This window comes from Homo sapiens, chromosome 13, assembly GCF_000001405.40.
Source record: "Homo sapiens chromosome 13, GRCh38.p14 Primary Assembly".
Lineage (NCBI taxonomy): Eukaryota > Metazoa > Chordata > Mammalia > Primates > Hominidae > Homo > Homo sapiens.
In genome coordinates this window covers 73,683,081-73,702,416 of record NC_000013.11, presented here as the reverse complement: position 1 = coordinate 73,702,416, position 19,336 = coordinate 73,683,081, and the positions used below count along the sequence as shown (strand labels likewise).

General features: G+C 38.2%; 1 protein-coding gene across 20 annotated transcripts in view; it reads left to right on the top strand.

Annotated features, from left to right (window-relative positions):
• Positions 1-16,328, top strand: part of KLF12 (KLF transcription factor 12) — a 619,957-nt gene extending 603,629 nt beyond the window's left edge. For 19 of the 20 annotated variants that reach the window (NM_001400153.1, NM_001400139.1, XM_011534909.3 and 16 more), the window contains one exon: positions 6,746-16,328. In NM_001400153.1, the coding sequence (NP_001387082.1) occupies positions 6,746-6,806 (61 nt within the window). In that variant the 3' untranslated portion in view covers positions 6,807-16,328. The remainder of the gene's footprint in view (positions 1-6,745) is intronic. The other variant, NM_001400141.1, reaches the window with a different exon arrangement.
• Positions 16,329-19,336: the final 3,008 nt, after the last annotated feature.

The following is a 19,336-nucleotide window of genomic DNA, read 5'->3' as shown; positions in this document are numbered from 1 at the left end:
TGGCGAAATGGGAGGTACCTGAAAAAGTTATTTTTGTTTGGTGGGTTTTGGGAATCCATTCAATACCTGGTGTTTTCTTTAGACTTTATTCTGCCTTCTGCTGGGTAAATGTCATGGAAATGCACTTAGTGACTCTTAATCCTTTTCTTTAACCAAAATTGAAAGAGACAGCCGTTTTCATAATCCATCAGTTGGTTATTTCAAGAAAAAACAAAACAAAACCCTGATGTGAGTTTTTGTTTTCCCAGAACACTTAGTCTATTTAAATAATACCTACATTTTTATATGCTGCATATACATAGAAAGTTGTATTTAACATGAACTCCGAAATGGAGTTACAGAGTTTTCAGGATGAACAATAACAACCACACCTCCCCCACCCTTTTTTTGTGTGTGTGTGTGGTATGTCGTCTTTTTTAACATTTAGAGGACTATTTCACTTTAAAAAACAGATGCTCTTCTTATTAGTGTTGGTTAACACGTTTCTTTTTCAGAAGTTTTCCTAGTTTAGTCCAGGTTTTTCACAGAACTGGAGAAGCACAGGTTGTGGTGAAAATGGTCATATTCTTTTTTTTTAAATACAAAACCTGGAAGTGGCCTAAGGATTTATCATGGGACATAGAGACCATCCCTTCAGAATTGAAGACCTAGAAGTTAATAAGCTATACACCAAGCACTGGCATGGTATCACCCAGCTAGCCACCCGTTACCCAACTAGTGTCCTTTGATTTTTCTCTTTACATCAAAAATGTAATGTCTCAACTTAAAAACAAAAAAAACTTATTAAGATTTATTGGCAAAGAAATGCACAATACCTTTTTCTGTAAGTTTGCTCTTTCATAGATTTAATATAAGAAACCAAAATCAAAGATTATCAAATCAAAGTAAAGTCAAAACTTTAGATTATTCAGAAAAACATAAAACACATTTTTAAAGACTATTGTCAAAAGAGGTTGACTGTGTACTTGTGAGTTAGACAAAAGAAGCAAAGAAGGTAGGTAGGCTGTCTTTATTTTTAGCTTATTTCCAGAGAAAATAGTTTTGAATAACACATTTGCACATTCCTCTTATGTGTGTTACAGAATTCAAGTAATTTGAAGAATTCTAATTCAAATGAGTTTAGGGGAAATGCATTATTTCTAAAGAAATTAATAGAAATCAAGTTTCTGATCACCACTGCTCAACCTGATGCAGAGTCGCCCAGGTGCAGCAGCAGCCCAGGCCCTGGGAGGGGTCTGACTCCATTTATTGTCCCAGCCAACTCTTTTCATAGGAACATTTTCATGGAAAATTCACCATTCTGTCCCTGCTGCTGACTTCTTAAAAATTATATTTAGCTTTCTATTTTCTAGCAAGTTTTTAAAGGAAAGAAGACAAAAAAGACAATTCTGTTCTTTATGATAGCCTTTCAGGGCTCATTTACACATACTACTGGATATCTTACAAACTTAATTATCTTTCTAATTAGTTTTTTTACTCTCATCATGAAGTTAGTTTCTGCTGTCTTAATGTGTTTATAAGATTGTGTGCTTTAAATTGCTTCAAAGCACAAACATAAGATACAGTGTCCTGTTAAAACACAATGCAGTAGCTACTCAAATTTTTGGTATCCATTTCTAAAATTTCACTAGTCTAAAGAGAGCACTTATAGACTTTCTTTCCTGTTTTGTTTTGTTTTTTTTAATGAAATACTAGGCACTGGGCGTATATAATGAAAACAGGTCTCTCTTGAGCTCTCTGGCTGGACACAGTAGCCATCTTCTCTTCCCCTACCCCCATAACTCAGCCTCTAATTTTGAGGAGAGAATTGAAGATATTGTTTTCTTTTTTTTTTAAGCATGGTGAGAGAATGCTTAAATTCTAATTTTATTAATGGGGCAATGGGAGCGAAGAATATTATGCATAGGATTTTTGGGGGGATCGTAAAAGTGTATGTTTTTATAAGGAAAATTTCAAGGAAAATTCATTTTATCACTTAGATAATTAAATTACTGTTTTCTGATATACTTTCTTCCCCCTCCCCCACATAGGAAAGGTTTTCATTCCTTATTACATGCCTTCATTAGTTACTTAGCCCCAAATAGCTTATAAATTTTTTTATTATTATTTTTTCTTTTTAATTAATTAATTAATTTATTTATTTATTTTTTGAGACAGAGTCTTGCTCTGTCACCCAGGCTAGAGTGCGGTAGCACCATCTCAGCTCACTGCAACCTCCACCTCCTGGGTTCAAGTGATTCTCATGCCTCAGCCTCCCAAGTAGCTGGGACTACAGATGCACGTCACCACACCAGCTGATTTATTTATTTGATAGACATAAGGTTTTGCTATATTGCCCAAGCTGGTCTTGAACTCCTGGCCTCAAGTGATTGATCCTCTCACCTCAGCCTCCCTAAGTGCTGGGATTACTGCCATGAACCACCGCATCTGGCCTAGCTTATAATTTATATATCATTTTTATTGATTTTATTCGTGGAGTAGGGAAGTATCTGCCTCTTGTATTTCTGAGGCCTCTTCCCTTGTTTTTCACGATTGTTTATTACACTTGATCACACTTCACTTGCACTGTTTCCCCACTCTACATTTATGGGCTCAGACAAACCCTTGCTCTACCAGGTGCTGTTTTCCCTGCTGCTTCTGCCTTTAAAATAGCCATCTTAGAAACAGTTCCAAACATCTCAGCTTCTACTTTCTGATCCTTCTCATGTTGTAACCCCACTTCCCAGACTCAATAGGAAGGTAACTCATCAGTGTTCACAGTGGCTATTTTAATACAACAGTATTTAAAGGAGCTGGAGGTGAGGTGGGGCACCATCGTAATGTAGAATCCTTACTTTTGGTTACCAGGTGAAGTATGGAGAGGCACTCCTGATCTTCATACCATGTGACCTTCACCCTCATAGGTGAGGTTATTGTACTTTTTTAATGAGCAGAAGATTCTGAGGATATTTTTAGGTCTGATTGAGTTGGGTGAGCCTTTTTCAATTTTTTTTAATTTTCATTTTTAAAAATTATTTATTTTTATATTTTGGAGGCGGGGTCTTGCCTGGTCACACAGGCTGGAATGCAGCTGCATGATCATAGCACATCTGTAGACCAGAAGTCTTGGTCTCAAGCAATCCTTTCACCTCAGCTTCCCGAATCGCTGGGGCTGCAGATGTGAGCCACTGCACCTGGCTACGTTTTTTTATTTTTATTTTTTTTTAGAGATTGCAGTGGGGGGGTGGGGGGGCTCACTGTATTGCCCAGGATGATCTCGAACTCCTGGCCTCAAGTGGGATCTTCCTGCCTCAGCTTCCCAAGTAGCTGGGATTATAAGCCTGAGCCACTGTCCTCAGTGGGTGAGTCTTCTAAGAGAGTGACTCATTTCCTGTTGCCCAGAAATCAATTTGAAGTATTTGAAATATCATGTGTGTTTATCACTGAGAGGACTGTTAGAATTTGAATCGAGGATCCTAATTTGAGATTAAGTGATTGAACTGTAACTAAAACATTCCCTCACCCACCCATTTCCAACACCCAATGTGTAATATATAATCCCAATTCAATAAGCTAACATATTCACGAAGCTTACAAAAAGCAGAGATGGCCATCTCTTATAAAAATCAGGGGTTGGCAAACCCCTTCCATAGAAGACTAGATAGTAAAGGTCTTAGGCATTGAAGGCCATACATTATATGTTGCAGCTATTCAACTCTTCCATCTCTGGAAAACAGCCGGAATGATGTGTAAATAAATAAATGTGGCTGTGCTCCAATAAAAACTTATTTATGGACACTAAAATTTAAATCGTATATAATGTTTATGCATAAAATATTCCTCTTGTTTTTTCAACCTTTAAAATTGTAAAAGTGGGGACTGCAGTTTACTACCCCCTGCTCCAGATTTTCAAGTGGAAAGGACATAACTACCATTATTAAATAGCCAACATAAAAATGAAAGTATGACTGGTATCATTTTAAGGAAGAAATTAGAGAATTTTAAGTGACTCAATTGGAAGTACAAAAAAAGCTAGACAGCACCTGAGGTATAAATCATCTCTACCTTGCTACCAGCCTCTCACATCCTTGTTAAGATGAGCCTGGAAGTTCTTGTCTACCTCTCCTCCCCAGGTGCACTCCTGTTATGGAACCCCTTCCTTCACTATCTGGAATGTAAAGGGCAGGATCCAGCAGCTTATCTTTTCTTTTCTTTCCCCCTCCCCTCCTCCTTCCCTTTCCCCTCCCCCTTTCCTCTCTCTTTTCTCTCTTTTCTTTCTTTCTTTCGGGGTCATACTCTGCCACCCAGGCTGGAGTGCAGTAACACAATCATAGCTCACTGCGGCCTTAAACTCCTGGACTCAAGCAATTCTTCTGCCTCAGCCTCCCCAGTAGCTGGAACTACAGGTGCATGCCACTGCACCTGGCTAACTAAAAAAAAAATTTTCTGGAGAGACAGAATGTCACTTTGTTGCCCAGGCTGATCTTGAACTCCTGGCCTGAAGTGATTCTCCCACCTCGGCCTCCCAAAGTGCTGGGATTACTGCCGTAAGCAACCACACCCAGCCAGTTTATCTAATCTCATGTTTACTCCCTCACCAAGACACGTCCTTCTATACTACACAACTGAGCAACGCTCATCTCCAGTGAAGATGAAATTTTATTGTTTTCTTTTTAGGCCTTACACTCTCTCTAGCTGGTTCCATAGCAACACAGGAAATAGCTAAGAAATGGCTCTCGGTGACCAACATCCAACTAGCTCAGCTCAATGTACCAAAGATGGATGTATTTTTGAAAAGATGAATTTTATCAAGCTCAACTATGCTCATAGTATAAATTTCAAAAACATGTAGAGATGACATGTAACACGTAAAAGCATGTAGATAATACTATATAGTAGACCTCCAATCTTTCTAAGTTAGGGGTTTTGCTGATTTTTGTTTCATTTCTGTCAAACTTTGGTCAGTAGACACATGCAAATGCAGTTTTGTCTCCATGGGACAACCACAGTGAATCAGAAGTTGAGGTTTGGTGTCAATCCAGGCAGTAGGCTTTTTCTTAAAAGGAGCCCTTTCAGAAAAACCTAGAGCAACCTGGGGCCACAATTAGTCCATCAGTATTTCTAGATTTAACAGGCCTGAACTATTCACTCTCTTCTGAAAGGGCTGCTTGATCCTGTAAGAATCCACACAGACAGCATTGATTTAACAGTTGAATGAAAAATGTTGGGTCCAGTTTGGACTAGTTTTCCCATGTAGGCATTACCTGCACATCTCATTTATAGGGTCCTGTAGTTTACCATATATGTTCCTATGTGTGTGTATTTGTGTGTGTGTGTGTGTGTGTGTGTTGCAGTTGTATTAATACATTCAAGTACTTGCTTGGCAGCTATTCTAGGCTCCAGTGACACTGAAATAGTAGAGGCAGAATAGTCCCAGATCTCCAAGTATTCGGAAACTGGTACAGAAGGGCGTCTAAACGAAATCTTCATGGTATATTGTGATAGGTGATGTCATAGAAATAGGAAGTGAATAATTTGGTCATACCTAAGAAAGTGACACTAACTCTGTCTGAAGTTGTGACAAAATTTAGATGGGGTAAGAATTAATCCATTCCACTGTAAAATAGTGAAAAGCACTGGATTGAGAGCCATGCACATCTTTTTACTGGCTTTGAGTAATGTTACTACCTGAAGCCTCAGTTTTCTCATCTGTGAAGTGGTGTCAACAATACCCCCTTTGTAGCTTTGTGCATGAGGAACAGCAGATAGCTCCCTTCCCTATCTTAGGCTCTTTTCACCAGAGGCCATATGTGGCCAAGGAGCACATTGTAGATTGTTGGGTGTAAGGGGCAGAAGAGAGATCAGTTTTTGTGGGGTTGCATGGGGACAAGCCTCCCATTCTGAATGAGATCCAGGAAAATGGCACACCTGGGTCAACTATTGTCCCACTCCCCCTGGGAGCTCATTTGGACAATGGCTAGTGTATCTTTTCCCAGCACAGCCTTTGCATATTTTACTGTCCTTACAAGTTGACTGAGAGACCCGGTCAAATTACATGCTTCTTCAGACAGCTTTTCTCTGTGAATTTTAGCTCTAGGACCAACGTGATGATTTCTCAGGGCTTACCCTGATTCTTAAGTCCTGAAAAATGTACTTAAACTTTACACTATTAAGGCATCTAGGATTTTCCCCCAAAGAACAAGCAAAAAATAGATATCTATGAACAATATGTACTTAATACCTGATATCTGGAGGTAGTAGAGTACATTATCGTTCAGTAAAATTTTGTGTATATTCTTGGACATTGTGTTTTAAAATAGCCTTAAGCCATCTAAGTGATGCACAGTTGGTAGGGGGAAGCGTGGGGGGGTGTTGAAACAAGGCATAACTGCTTGACCGTAAGAATTCTTTGTGACTTTCAGCCTTAAAATCAAATCAAACTGGGTAAAGCTTTAGTAATTTCTTTTTAGTCTACTAGTGGTGATATATCCAGTGGCAGTCAATCCATGCCTTTATATGTTGATGGCAAAGTCATAATGGAGGACACCAGTGTTAACTAGCTTGCCAGATGTCACAGCAGGCAAGACGAGATTGAAACCATCACCTGTCTGACCCAGACCGCTGGTGGGATGGTAAGGTTTCCCGACAAAGATTTACCAACGGGAAAATTCATTGAGAACACCAGTTTCCCAAAATAGAGTACTGGCCTGGTTATGGCAAAGTGATGGATGGAGCACCAAAGCTTGTGTTCCTTTGTTTCTTCCAGGAGAGAAACCTTACAAGTGTACCTGGGAAGGCTGCACCTGGAAGTTCGCTCGTTCAGATGAACTGACGAGGCATTACCGCAAACATACGGGAGTGAAGCCATTCAAGTGCGCGGACTGTGATCGCAGCTTTTCCCGGTCAGATCATTTGGCCCTGCACCGCCGGAGGCATATGTTGGTGTGAGGAATGCTACCTGTCCAGCTGAGCGTAAGAGCTGGATCTCTTAGCGGCACCCAATTCAGCAGGGCTGAATCCCCTTCACAGTGTTAACACAAAAGGGCATCACCATCCCACGATGTCTGAAACCAGAGCAGGAAAAAGAAGGCACACTTCTTTTGGTCTGAAGGTAACCCCCATCATGACTAGACGAGAACCGTCTTTACCCGGGCCTGGGAGCTCAGTGACATAAATGCTGAAGAGACAGGCATTGTTTTCCGTGCTGTGTCCTCTGCCATTTAAAGATGTTTGTAGCTTGTACATTTTCTGAGCTGTCAGACATTTTGTTATTGATACCTTAAAGGTCACCTACCACAAATTGATGGCTAGAGCAAGACCTTTTAAATTTGGATGAATCTCCCATCATCCCATCCCTTAACCCCTTTTTACAGAAATTTTAGTTACAATCTGAGTAAGCTAGAACACACATCCAATCTGTTACCAGCAAGCAGCATGAAAGTAGAAACGAAGAAGCAGATGGAGAGGTCCCATTACCTGCAAAGAAAGGGCACTCAGGCAGCCCTTTGCAATCGCGATGGCAGCCACTAGATATCACTCTCAACTTGTCATTCTGCCATGCCCTGAAGAAAACCAACATTGAATCTTTCATTTGTTTGTCGTTGATTGTTTTTGTTTTGTTTCGATTCTGTTTTGTTCATCTGTTCGAGCAGAGGGGCAGTTGAAGTCTCGTCCTGGTCTCTGCCCTGGCATGGACTGGCACAGAGGTGTTCTGTAGTTGAATAGGAAGAGCCTGTCTAAAAAACTACTGCCCCACTTCAAATTGCAGTGTTCTGTCACCTAGGCATCATCTCTTCCTGCCCCTAGTATTTGATTACAAGGAACCAGGGGAAAAAAACTTTCTTAGACACACTGGCACCAAGGTAAGAGGTGGGGCTGCCCAGGCAAAGTCAGTGAACATGAAAACTCAGACAAAGCAGAGATGGAAATAATGCGCCTCTTGAGGAGAAAAGCAATAATGAATAAAAGGACTTTCCTACAATAACTTCACTGAGGACTCACGTTACCAATTTTCATACTTACTAAAGGGATTGTAAAAAACACCCCAGCATTTTAGGTGTCTTGGTTCCATTTACAGCACTGAGGTAATCTTTCTGCTGTTTGTTGTCCTGCTTGGTTGAGTACCACAATTAAAGATTATGCTCCCCTTTTCTTGTTTGAAAACAGTTATTTGGTGACTAGAAAGGCAAGGGAGGCATAGCCGGGAATTAACTCTTCGGTTAATGGGTCAGTTCTCCTTGGAACTGAATCAGTGGAAAGAGAATGCTTCCCATAGAAAGCCCGACATGGTGCTAGTTTCCTCTCTTGGAGAGCCAAGGATAAGTGACTCTCCAATAGGTTCTTCTATACCGATTTCATTTTCTAAACTGTATCAGGACCCAGGTGTCCTGCATTGGCATCTGCAGGGATATTGAACCCACTCATCCTGTGCAGAGGATGAGAGGAAGGTGTTAGTTCCATCAGCCCCATAAAATTATGAACCTTTTTGCAACTAGGAACATATACAGTAAACAAGCAATACATCACCAACGAGCATTCTTTCAGAAAAATTACCATATTTTTGTCCCCACCACAAGCTGGGTTTTTTTCCAGCTTTCTGTGGCTGAGGGGCTGGTGAGATTTTTTGTTGTTATTGTTGTTGTTGCTAGAATTTTTTATAGCTTAGATATAAAAGGTCTCCAACAAAGACCTTTGCAATATATTTTAATTACAAACACTTGATTTTGGGAATTGCACATATTAACCTCACAATATTACTAGCTCATTTTTAAATGTCTGGACATTCTGAAATAATTTCCGGTTACAGAATTACCCTTTTTAGGATCATCTTCTAATTCAGATAATCTTATTCTGATGAAGCGAGAACTATGAACGTTGAAACAAGGACAATTTGTGTTGGATGGTATTCAAAAGGAATTTTTTAAAACATTAAGCAACAGTGTAATGATTTTCAGGTCAAATTATGGCTTCACAAATATGTGCTCTATATTGTCTGCCAGGTCTCAAAAATTCATCAAGCAATTTCCCTCCAACAAGGGCTGCAGTTCTAGTGATAAATAGCATCTTTAGCTGCACAGTCTACTACTCATCAACCAGTGGGTTTTTTTTAGCACCTGGAAAGTTTTTTTGTACTATATGCAACTCCTACTTCACATTGCCTGTGACCATTCAGAATAGAAAAAGGTCTGTTGATGCATGCCAGTGCTGGTTACTAGTCAGTGACAGAGAACACAGAGAGGGACAAACACAGCCATGAACCCCCTGGCACTAGTACCAGCACCTAGTTGGCAAGTAGTGGGTGCATCTCTCAAGTGAAGTGTAGATTTGTATTTAGTCCTGCTTGCTCTCATAAAAAGAGCCAGTTCTTTTCTCTGCTGAAAGATGTCTTGAGAGTATTACAGGTAGACTTGGTTTTTAGAATTCATAAAACTGACAGGCAGGGGAATCTTCCTGAGTGACAGCTTGGTTTAAATTTAGCACAGAACTAGATGAGTTGCACTTTTCTAATAACATAGGATGGATTTGGGGAAGGGAACATTTTCCCTCATCCTCTGAAAGTGGAAACCAGACTGAGATGGTAAGTTAACTGATAAAACCTGTCAGCATTCCATCATTTTCCCCTTTTGACGTATCAGTACTTCTAAGAAGGGATCTAAGCACAATTAAGTGAATTGAGTCCCTGGTCTAGCCTCAGGAACTGAAACTTCTTTGGGGCTTGTCTTGAGACGTGGCAAATTCTCCTTGGTGAGTTTTCTAAAAGTATTTCCCCATGGAAAGGAGAAAGTGGTTTGGGACAGAAAGAAATGGAATGTCTTCAGTCATGGAAGAGCCTCCATTTCATCTCATGTCCATTTCTAGCCTCTTTCAAAAAGCACAGTGCATCATGAGCAACAGAAAAGCAGTAGAATCCTAAAGGACATAACAGTTGTTCCGTAACTAGAAGCATTCTTTGATTTTAAATTTGAAGCTGTTCAGTTTGCAGCTGGGGATATGTGCATGGTTGGGAACTTATACACATAGAGCCATTAACTACTTAAGCAGCTGCAGTAGACCTGATTTTCTGTTTGCAGTATAGAGATTGATTTCAAGGGAGTTACATTATTTGAAAAGTTATGACTTTCAGCCTTTGAGGTTTTAAGAATCCCTTTTCATGGTCTGATCTTAAGTTGTTTGAAAAAAGATTCACGCTTCTGCATCCACCTCTGCCCTCATTCTGTCAATTGTGTGTGGACTCTGAGAAGCCTGCTTGATAACTTGTCTTAAGTTCTATTAAGGCAGTTAGACTGAGATTTCTAATGACTTCACCATAAAGATTATACTTCTGCCTGGCGTCGTTTCTATAAAACACTATAGGACATTTGTTTTCAAAAGCAGTTGAGTAACAGCAACATAAACCACATTTTTTAAAAAAATGAGCACTTTTCATTCACTTGAAAGCTTAAGTGGGAAAAAGGAAGATGATTGTCAGGGGAAAAACTTACAAAATGCTACAGTGTTTACAAATGCCAGTTCCAGGTGATTAGAAAGGCCGTTTTCATTATGGTTCAGATTTGGAATAGCTTATGCAAAGATTGTGTTCATTTTTATACAATTCTTTTTAACTTTAAATTGCCATCTGTGTTTTAAACATAATTCTGCACTTTGGAATCAGTTCATTAGAATGATAACATTTATATGGATAAAGATGCAGTATTCCTTATTCTGTACTTGATTTATTATACTTACCAAAGCTGCAACTGAATAAATCTGGTGAGGTGAGGCCTTCAAAATGTATTAATACGCCTTTGTTATGTTGTTATGACTGCTTAGAAATGTAGCCATGATGTTGTTCTAAAGATGTCTTAACATTTATAGTGAGGATTGACAGAAATTAAGCAGTGTTAAGAATACCAGCATCCATGTTACAGTCTGCGTATAAGGGACTGAATGTGAGGTAACTCTTATGAATCATAATAGGCCCAGAAAGCCTTAATATTCATAGTTCATAATCCAGTCTCAGATTTTGCTCTTCAATGTTGCCTGTAAACTTAGCAGGTAAATGTATTCTAGTATAAAACATCATTGACCAAATCTCTTCCTTTAGTTTTTCTGAGGTAGTGCATCCCATTAAAAAAGTCTCTTCAATTAGATTTGGCTTTAGTTTAGAAAGGGGTTTGGTAAGTCATGTCTTCCATATGACATTTCTACTCATCCCCACACTGCCTTCCACTTAACCTGTACAGACAGCCCCAACACATGCACATGTGTGTACACAACTGTATATGCAGCAGCCAGTGGGCTAACAAATATCAGCAAAGAACTTTTTTAAAAAGAATTTGTAATAATCCGTGCTGTCTAGAAATGTGAGTTACTTACCTTATTAGGAAACCGGCTTATAATACTATATATGACTCTGCCTGCATTTTATAGTTAAGAAATGTACATAAAAATTGCTATATTTTCACAGTTTCATTATAATGTCTGTTTAGTAACCCATGTCCACTGATACTTTAAATATGCTAATTACTGAGCAATTGCAATAGAAATCCAGATTTTCATAAGAAAATGAAATAGAAGGATACTGCATCTTTAAAAAATAGAGTGAAGATATTTTACTGTATTCGTAACATATGTGATAGTGGAAAAAGTATTTTCAAACTCACAAATTTTACAGAGGTTGTAAATAGTTTGATGAAGTATGTTGGGAAAGAGAGCTTCTAGTTTTCATCACAATAAAAAGAAAAAACTTGTTCAGATATGCCTTGTATATCTTACACACAATGAGTGAAATTGCCATGGGAACTCTGTCCAACTTTGTCAGAGCATGCTCTTCGTGTTCTGTTCAAAATAGAGTGGCCACTTGTCATGGTTTAGCCAGGATGGTTTAAAATATAATGAAGTCATTTTAAGTTGCAGACAACTGATTCCAAACTAGTAATGTCTTTTCCTGAAAAGGGCAAAACAGCTGCACAGGATTTTGCTTGTACTAAAGAGGAGCATCTTACAATTGTTCTCTTTTCTCAGTTATCTCCCTCCTCAACAGAGTGTGAACAACCATACAGGTGTTTATTCTTGTTTTATTCCAGGGAGACTGCTTTTAGGTATAACTACATGTTGACAAGATTAAGTGCTGTGGATATGGCCACGTGTTAAAGGAATCTATACTCGCAATAGGAATAAGCTAATGCCCATTTTCAGAAATAAATTAAATGCTGAAAGTGCCTGTCAGTAAACCTTATGACCAATGAGATATTCCTATACTTTTACACAGCAATAATTCTTAATAAGACTGGGTTTTTTCCTGCACATGTGAACACACACACACATACACACAGAGAGAGTAAATACATACACATAGTAAATCAAATCTGTTCACATGCCCACAAAAAACGCTTTTATAGCTTTCAAATATACCTAATCTTGTTTACATTAACATTTCTTAATTTGATCTTTCTAACTTGCAGAACGTTAAGAACACAAATCTGAACATTAAGTTTATCTTCAGTGAACACTATTGCATATGGTAATTATAATTTCCAGATAAAAAGTTGACTGTCATTTGCCCCAAACTTATGAAACAGTATGTATGATTCAAAAAGTTTTGCTCAGTTAAAAACACCAATTTATTTGGCGCAAAAGACTGAAGGATATTTGTTTGCTTGTTCATTTTATCCACTCATATCAAACGCACAAATTCATCTTTACATTTCTTCATTCCCCTTTCCCCTAATATTTCCTATTATCATCTTAAGAATCATTTTGGAATGAATATTGACAGAATCATTTCTCCCCAAAAAGTCTGTTGAAGTACCACTGACACTTAGTAAGCCTAGCCTTTAACCATCTTTGCAGTTAGTCCTAAAAATTACCAGATGCACATTCAGAAGCTCACAGGTTTTTTCCTGTAATTACTGTACTGCTAAAAGTGGAGTCATGGATAGAAATATACAATGAGACTATATGAATAGACATGAACCCTGGAAATTCTCCAACCCTGCCATCTCAGAGCACAAATTCACCCAAACAAGCTACTGAGGCTATCAGTAAAATTATACTCATGGAGAGTCACACATCGGGTAAGGGCAATTTTAAAAGTAGGACTGTGATTAAACATTCAGGCTTTAGACTTCCATGATGGACTCAGACCACAGGCCTCAAAAAAACATCCACTGTTTTCTCCTCCCAATGTTAGAAAGAAGAAAAGGGAGACGGAAATGTACCAGGATAAGGGGGTAAAATAACCAATTAAGTGTCAAAGGAAAGCTGCTGGGTTCCTTAATCTCACTGAAGTCAAGTCTTCTGACTGGGCTTCTTACCATGTGTTGTCTGAAAAAACTAAAGTACCTTGAAAGGTTACACATTCAGCAAACCATGAAGATAATAGCTATTCTTTATTAAACACTGTGTGCCAAGCAATAGACTAGGCAATTTTTAGATACGTTACCTGCAACCTGTACAACATTTCTACACTTTATGGATGGGAAACGGAGACATGGGAAGTGTGGCTGAGTTGTTCATGGATGTAGAAATAGTAAACGGCAGAGTAGGAAAGTGAAACCGCCTATCTCTGACCTGGAGGTCTGCCTGTATCTTTCCCACTCCACCACACTGCACGTGGGTGTCCCGAAACCACCTTCCCAGATTCCTGACTCTCAGTAATTTTATTATGGACAACATGCATGAGTAGTCATCATATTTTTCAAGTGAAATATCGGGACATGATATAACACATGACTTAACAATGGTACTGAATATTTGAAATCAGGCCTTTCCCGGAAAATCATGCATGAAGGATCATTATAAACAAACAATAGCAACCAGTTGTCTCCCCGAACTTGTCACTTTTCTCATAAATGTCTGGCCTGGAGCTCCAAAATCATCCAAATACTTAGTAGCATTTTAGCCTGAGTACACTTTCTCAGTTCCTCAACTCTTTGTATACCTTTCCACCAATATAGACATTCTAGAATCTGCTTCAGATGCATTTGAAATTTTCACCCCCATGGAACTAGTGATTAATATCAGAGCCCACTCTTGCAGTTGGTAATGGGGTGGCAATCAAACGTTCAGATGATGATAAAGGAGAGATAATGGATAATTCTTTTTCAGAGTTCTCACTTAACAGCTCTGTTGTGGAATGTTTTAAATAGTCTTATAAATAATTTGTTTATAGTATTGTTGTTAGTTTAATTGAATTTTATGTAAGAAGCTGTCCAACATCAGAGAAATGAAATTCCTCCCACTTTCTGTGTAGAACAAGGTCTCTGACAGTATTGATTCATGGAAGTACTAATGGACTTAGAAAACATTAAGAGAATGTCATTTCTCATAGTGTTTCTGTTTCTGAAAATGAATCTCCTGAATTATTATCTTTCTCCCTGTTACTTGGCTGGGGAAAGAGATAGAAGCTGTATAAACAAATTCTCTTCCATGCTCAAAGCAAGTGTTCCATGTGCACAACCTGCTGCAGACTGGGGCCCTTCTCAGTTAATTGGGTTTCACAAGCAATAATTTCTCCACAACAAAAACCACAACTTGAAGTGAGTTGAAAAGAGATCAATAGTGGAAACAGTCGCCTCAGTACTTTTTCTTTCTGGATTTCATCTCTAGAAATTTGAAGTGTTTGAGACAGAGTCCACCCTTTGTGCAAGGCGAGAACCAATGAATGGACTCCTTGTGTGAATTATTGCATCTTCTTCCAAAGCAGGTTCATCAAGACTTTCACAGAGATTCATTTTTGTTGAGAAGTAAGGGTTAATAGGAGGATAGAATTTGGATCCAAATCTAGTGATAAAAGTGTCCAAGCAATCAAAAAGTAAGATATTTTAGGGACATACCAACATCTTCCCTTTCTGCTAATTTCATGCTCCAAAGATATGGCAAAAAAAAAAATCATAAAAAGTGCTTTTGCCCTACTTGTGTTCTAGTTTTCCCATGGCAGAATTTTGTAATTACATCCAGAATATAGTGTATATTTTGTTCCTCAAACTTTATTACATTGGATGGATATTGTTGAACTGGGGCACTGGTGCCTATATTCAAGGCTCTTTCCTATCAACGTGTCTGTCCACGATTTGTTGTGTTTAAAGCTTCATTTTGAAAAATCACTGTCCCCCTGTGGGGTAGTGACTGTATTGTTTTGTTCATGTCTATGTGGGACACATTGCATCACATGGCAAACCAACTCTCTGTGGATGTGAGATAAGTACTTATAAAACCAGCTTGAAAACATCGTCTTATGTATTATGTCATCCTGCATCATAATGCAATTATGTGTATCATAACATGCTCATTTAAAAAAAGAGAAACCAGCAAATTCATGTTTGTCCATAGAAGAATGTACTCAGAACTTTGTGTTGTGAAACGATGAGAACAGACCACCTTTAAGATACCCACCTGCCACTTAAAATGACTTAGTTATAATTAGTAGTAGTCTAGACGTTGTTCTTGGTGTGTGGGGGTCAATTCTAACGTCATGTTCTTTTGAATAAATCTCTCAGTCATATTTGAAAAAAAAATACATGGGAATAAAGAAAAATATCATCTTTGGCCAAATCAAGCAGGCATCTTTTTTCTTTTCCTTGACGTTTAGCTCATTATACGTGGTGATTGGATCACGAGATCTGTCCGTGTGAAAATACAGAAACATCCTTTAGTTTACAAAACAGTTATTCTAGGCTTGAAGCCTCTGAACAGCAAATTGAATAGATGGGCTGCATCTGATTTGCTTTATGGATGTAATTTTACAAAACACTCTTGGGTCTCTGACCCCAGGGAGTTAAGAGTGCCCAGAGGAGGTCCTACACATTAAAGGATAAAGCCCCCCAGTGATGCTGGCAAGCAAATGTGTTGAGTTCTTAAATCTTCATTTGGTTTTCTGTTCAGGATTTTAATTGCAAATGAATTTATTTCTCCAGTTTATCTAAAGACCTAATTTCCCAATAGTTTCCTCTGCATTTATATACTCTGTAGTGTTTAGGCAACCCTGTTATAAGTTTATTAATATTATGTAAGTGTTGTTCTTGTATTTATGTATAGTGTATGTATTGTAAATATACTCAGAGCTTTTTTCCTTTTACTGTAAAATGGTGATTTTTTTGCCCTATGATAATGTAAAGGGAGACCCTCCTAATGAGATTCTCTCAGAGGATGATTATTCCAGTCTATTCTCAGAGATTTAAATGAACAAGTGTTATTGTTTTTAATGGTGTCTCAGACATATTCTGTTGGTGCATTGCTTTTCTGTATTCAACTTTCCTATGAATTGAGCTGTGAACTGAAATAGAGTTTAAACCTTTAACTGTATGCATTTGTATAATTATCTGAATGAAGGCATGAAGGTTAAATAAAGCATTTTGTATGGAACAAAACTCCCTAACTGACTCAGACACTTTGGAAATCATAGTTATTAACCATTCTAATTAAACCTTTGTTATGAAAAGTTTTACCATTTGTGTATAGTAATTTAAAACACGGAACAAAATAGAGTCTATTCTAAAAAAGCAACGTTTTTATTTCATAACAGCCAGCACCTAAGGAGGGATTGCTAGCTTAATATTTTAATGAATATAAAATTAAAAAGTAGTCCAGAGATGTCAAGTAATATGAAAAATGCATCTTTCAGAGTCCAGAATTGAATCCTTGGGGATTATAATTTCTTCCCACTTTACGTATCCTTTAAGTATGGAATGATTCATCTAACACCTGCTACAGTTAGCTGATTTCTGTAGATTTTTAAGAAAACTGAGTTATAAAGGCTTTTGAAAATAAGACCATTAATGAGTAGATTATCTTTAAGTAATTGCTCAAATAATCACTTGAAAATCTGTTTTAAGTATCTTTCCTAGTGTCTTTTAATCAGAGAACTAGAAAAACTCCATTCTACAAAGGGAATGGTATCAAATAGTACTAATAATTATATAGAATGGTGATAGATGATAGATAGTAATTTTAAAATAATATTTAAGTACTTCCCAGATGCAAGGCAATGTTCGAAGCATTCTGTTTGTTCCCTTTTATTCATTGCAAAAATCCTGAGTTCTATTACCAATGAAAAGGTGAGGCACTGAGTGTTGGTGACTTTCCCAGTCAGTCTGGTTCCAGGATCAGTGTCCTTAGTCACTAAAGGGATATGAGTGTATTATAGAGATGGAGAAAGGATGGGAGGTGGGGGCGCAGAGATTAAGGTGGAAGAGAGAATAGCAATGACTATCATAAAACATTCAACAAATACCTTTGATTATATATGTACCAATATAAATAAACCCAACAGAATACTATCCTTCATTTAATACTCAGCAAACCAGAGTGTAGTTTAATAACTCTGTAGTTTAATAACTCATACAAATCAGAGATGAAAATCGATTTTGGTTCGCTTTATCACTGACTCGAACCCATTTCCAAATGAACTCTGAGTTCTGTGAAATTGTTCTGCTGTATTCAGGGGAACTAGAGGGAGCCATGGGGCCGTCAGGCCCACTCCATTCCCACTGAAGCCTCCTCTTTTGCCATCAGTTGGGAGGCTAAGCGTACCGCTGTGTTGACGCTCCCCAACCCGGCCCTGCTTTGAGCACTAGGAAAGGATCTTGTGGGAGTCATTTCCTCTCGGTGAGAGCTTCACCTCCTGGGTGAGCTCAACACCAGCCTTACGGAAGAAATCACTGTCTAGAAGATTATAAGATTCTTTGAAAATCGAGGCCATAAATCATTAAGTACATGTTTACTCATTTTCTTGTAAAGATTTTAGTTGTGCCATTTTAGAAATATTCAGTTAAGGCAAGGGCCAATAAAAAGTCTATCTTGTTCTACTCTCTTTTGAAATGTAATAATACTTGCAAGGCTAAAATGAATCCATTCATTTACTTCATTTTGGATATGACTTTGTAAGCAAATGAATTGGACATTAGGTATTATGTCTTTGGCCTGATTTTCTGACTGTTCTTTGTAGGCCATACAAGCAGCCAAACCAGCTCTCCAGCTTTGTTTTTTATTTATTTTTCAGCTCACCCCGGGAGGCTTTGTCGTACAAATAGACCAATGAGGCAGATTTCATGGACTAGATCACATGATGTTATTTTTCCCTCAGGGTAATTTATTCGTTGATATTTCCTCTACCAGGGTGATTCTTGGATACTTCAATGATAGCTGGAATTACACAGGTGATAGATAATTCATTATCTCATGTTTTACCTTTACTCTAGCCGTTTTGCCATAGCCATGATTTCTAACCTAATGGTTTCATTGTTTCTTATTCTCCCCAATTTGAAGTCTACAAAAAAACCACACGAAATAGTTAAAAGTACAGGAGCAGCAATGTACTTCAGCTTAGAATGCCTTGGGGCTTTATCAGAAAAGAAAAAAATATTTCAGTGCTAGAACAAAATCATGCTCCCTAAAAAATTATTTTAGTCCCAATGGCCATGGAGGGTTTTCATACTATATAGTGCATTGTCTTCCCACCAAAGTGCGTGGTTTCCTTCAACACAATGAGCTCCTTGTGCTTTGTTCGTGTGCTGTCTGGATTTAATATATTTCTCTCCCAGCAGTGTAATAACTATAATTTACATCACTTCCTGTTTAGTCTAAATTCACCAATGAACGCCTACACAGCTCATACACTTGAGTGATTGTCTATTTCTGAAATAAATTACATTTTCCTTGTACAGGAACAACTTTTACATGATCTTTTTTCTTTTATAGTTTCACCATGTTAAGAGTGTGCTTGTGTGTGTGTATGTGTATGAGAGAGAAACCCAGTTTTATGAGGCCATGATGACATCAGCAATATGTGCTAAAAAACATTTACTCAGGAGAGCCCCAGAATTGTTTAAATAGGCATATAGTCATCAGAATAGCCCCCTTTTCTCTTATTGTAGCTGCAGTAAGTATTGTATTGCACAGATTGTAATCCATTATCTTGAAGAGGATTGCAAAGCACAGAAGGTCTGTGTCATGAGCTACTGTTATACCCTGGTCCCTCAGAGCTTTCAGTCTATACCAAAGACCCAAGTTGGTTCCAACATCTCAAGGGTGGCCTTGCCGCTGCCTCTGGCTGCTATGCCCTCTTAAACTTGGCCATGGCCAGGTCATGAGGTAGACGTGGCCCTGGAGGGTTAAACGTTATTGATCATCCCCAGGGTCCTGAAAGCTTATGTCAGTGTGGCCAATGCATTCTGTTGCTGAATTAGGGCCTGTGTACACTACTTCACCTTTCCTGGCTGATTTGGAGCCATTTCTTTGTAATTTGTTCAGCATAAATGAATACAGTCATTTGAGCACTGATATTGACCCTTTTGTATTATATGTATCAATATTATGCATTATCCAAGTGAGCATTCAAATTATATTTGATATATCTAAAACATGGAGGAAATGGTTA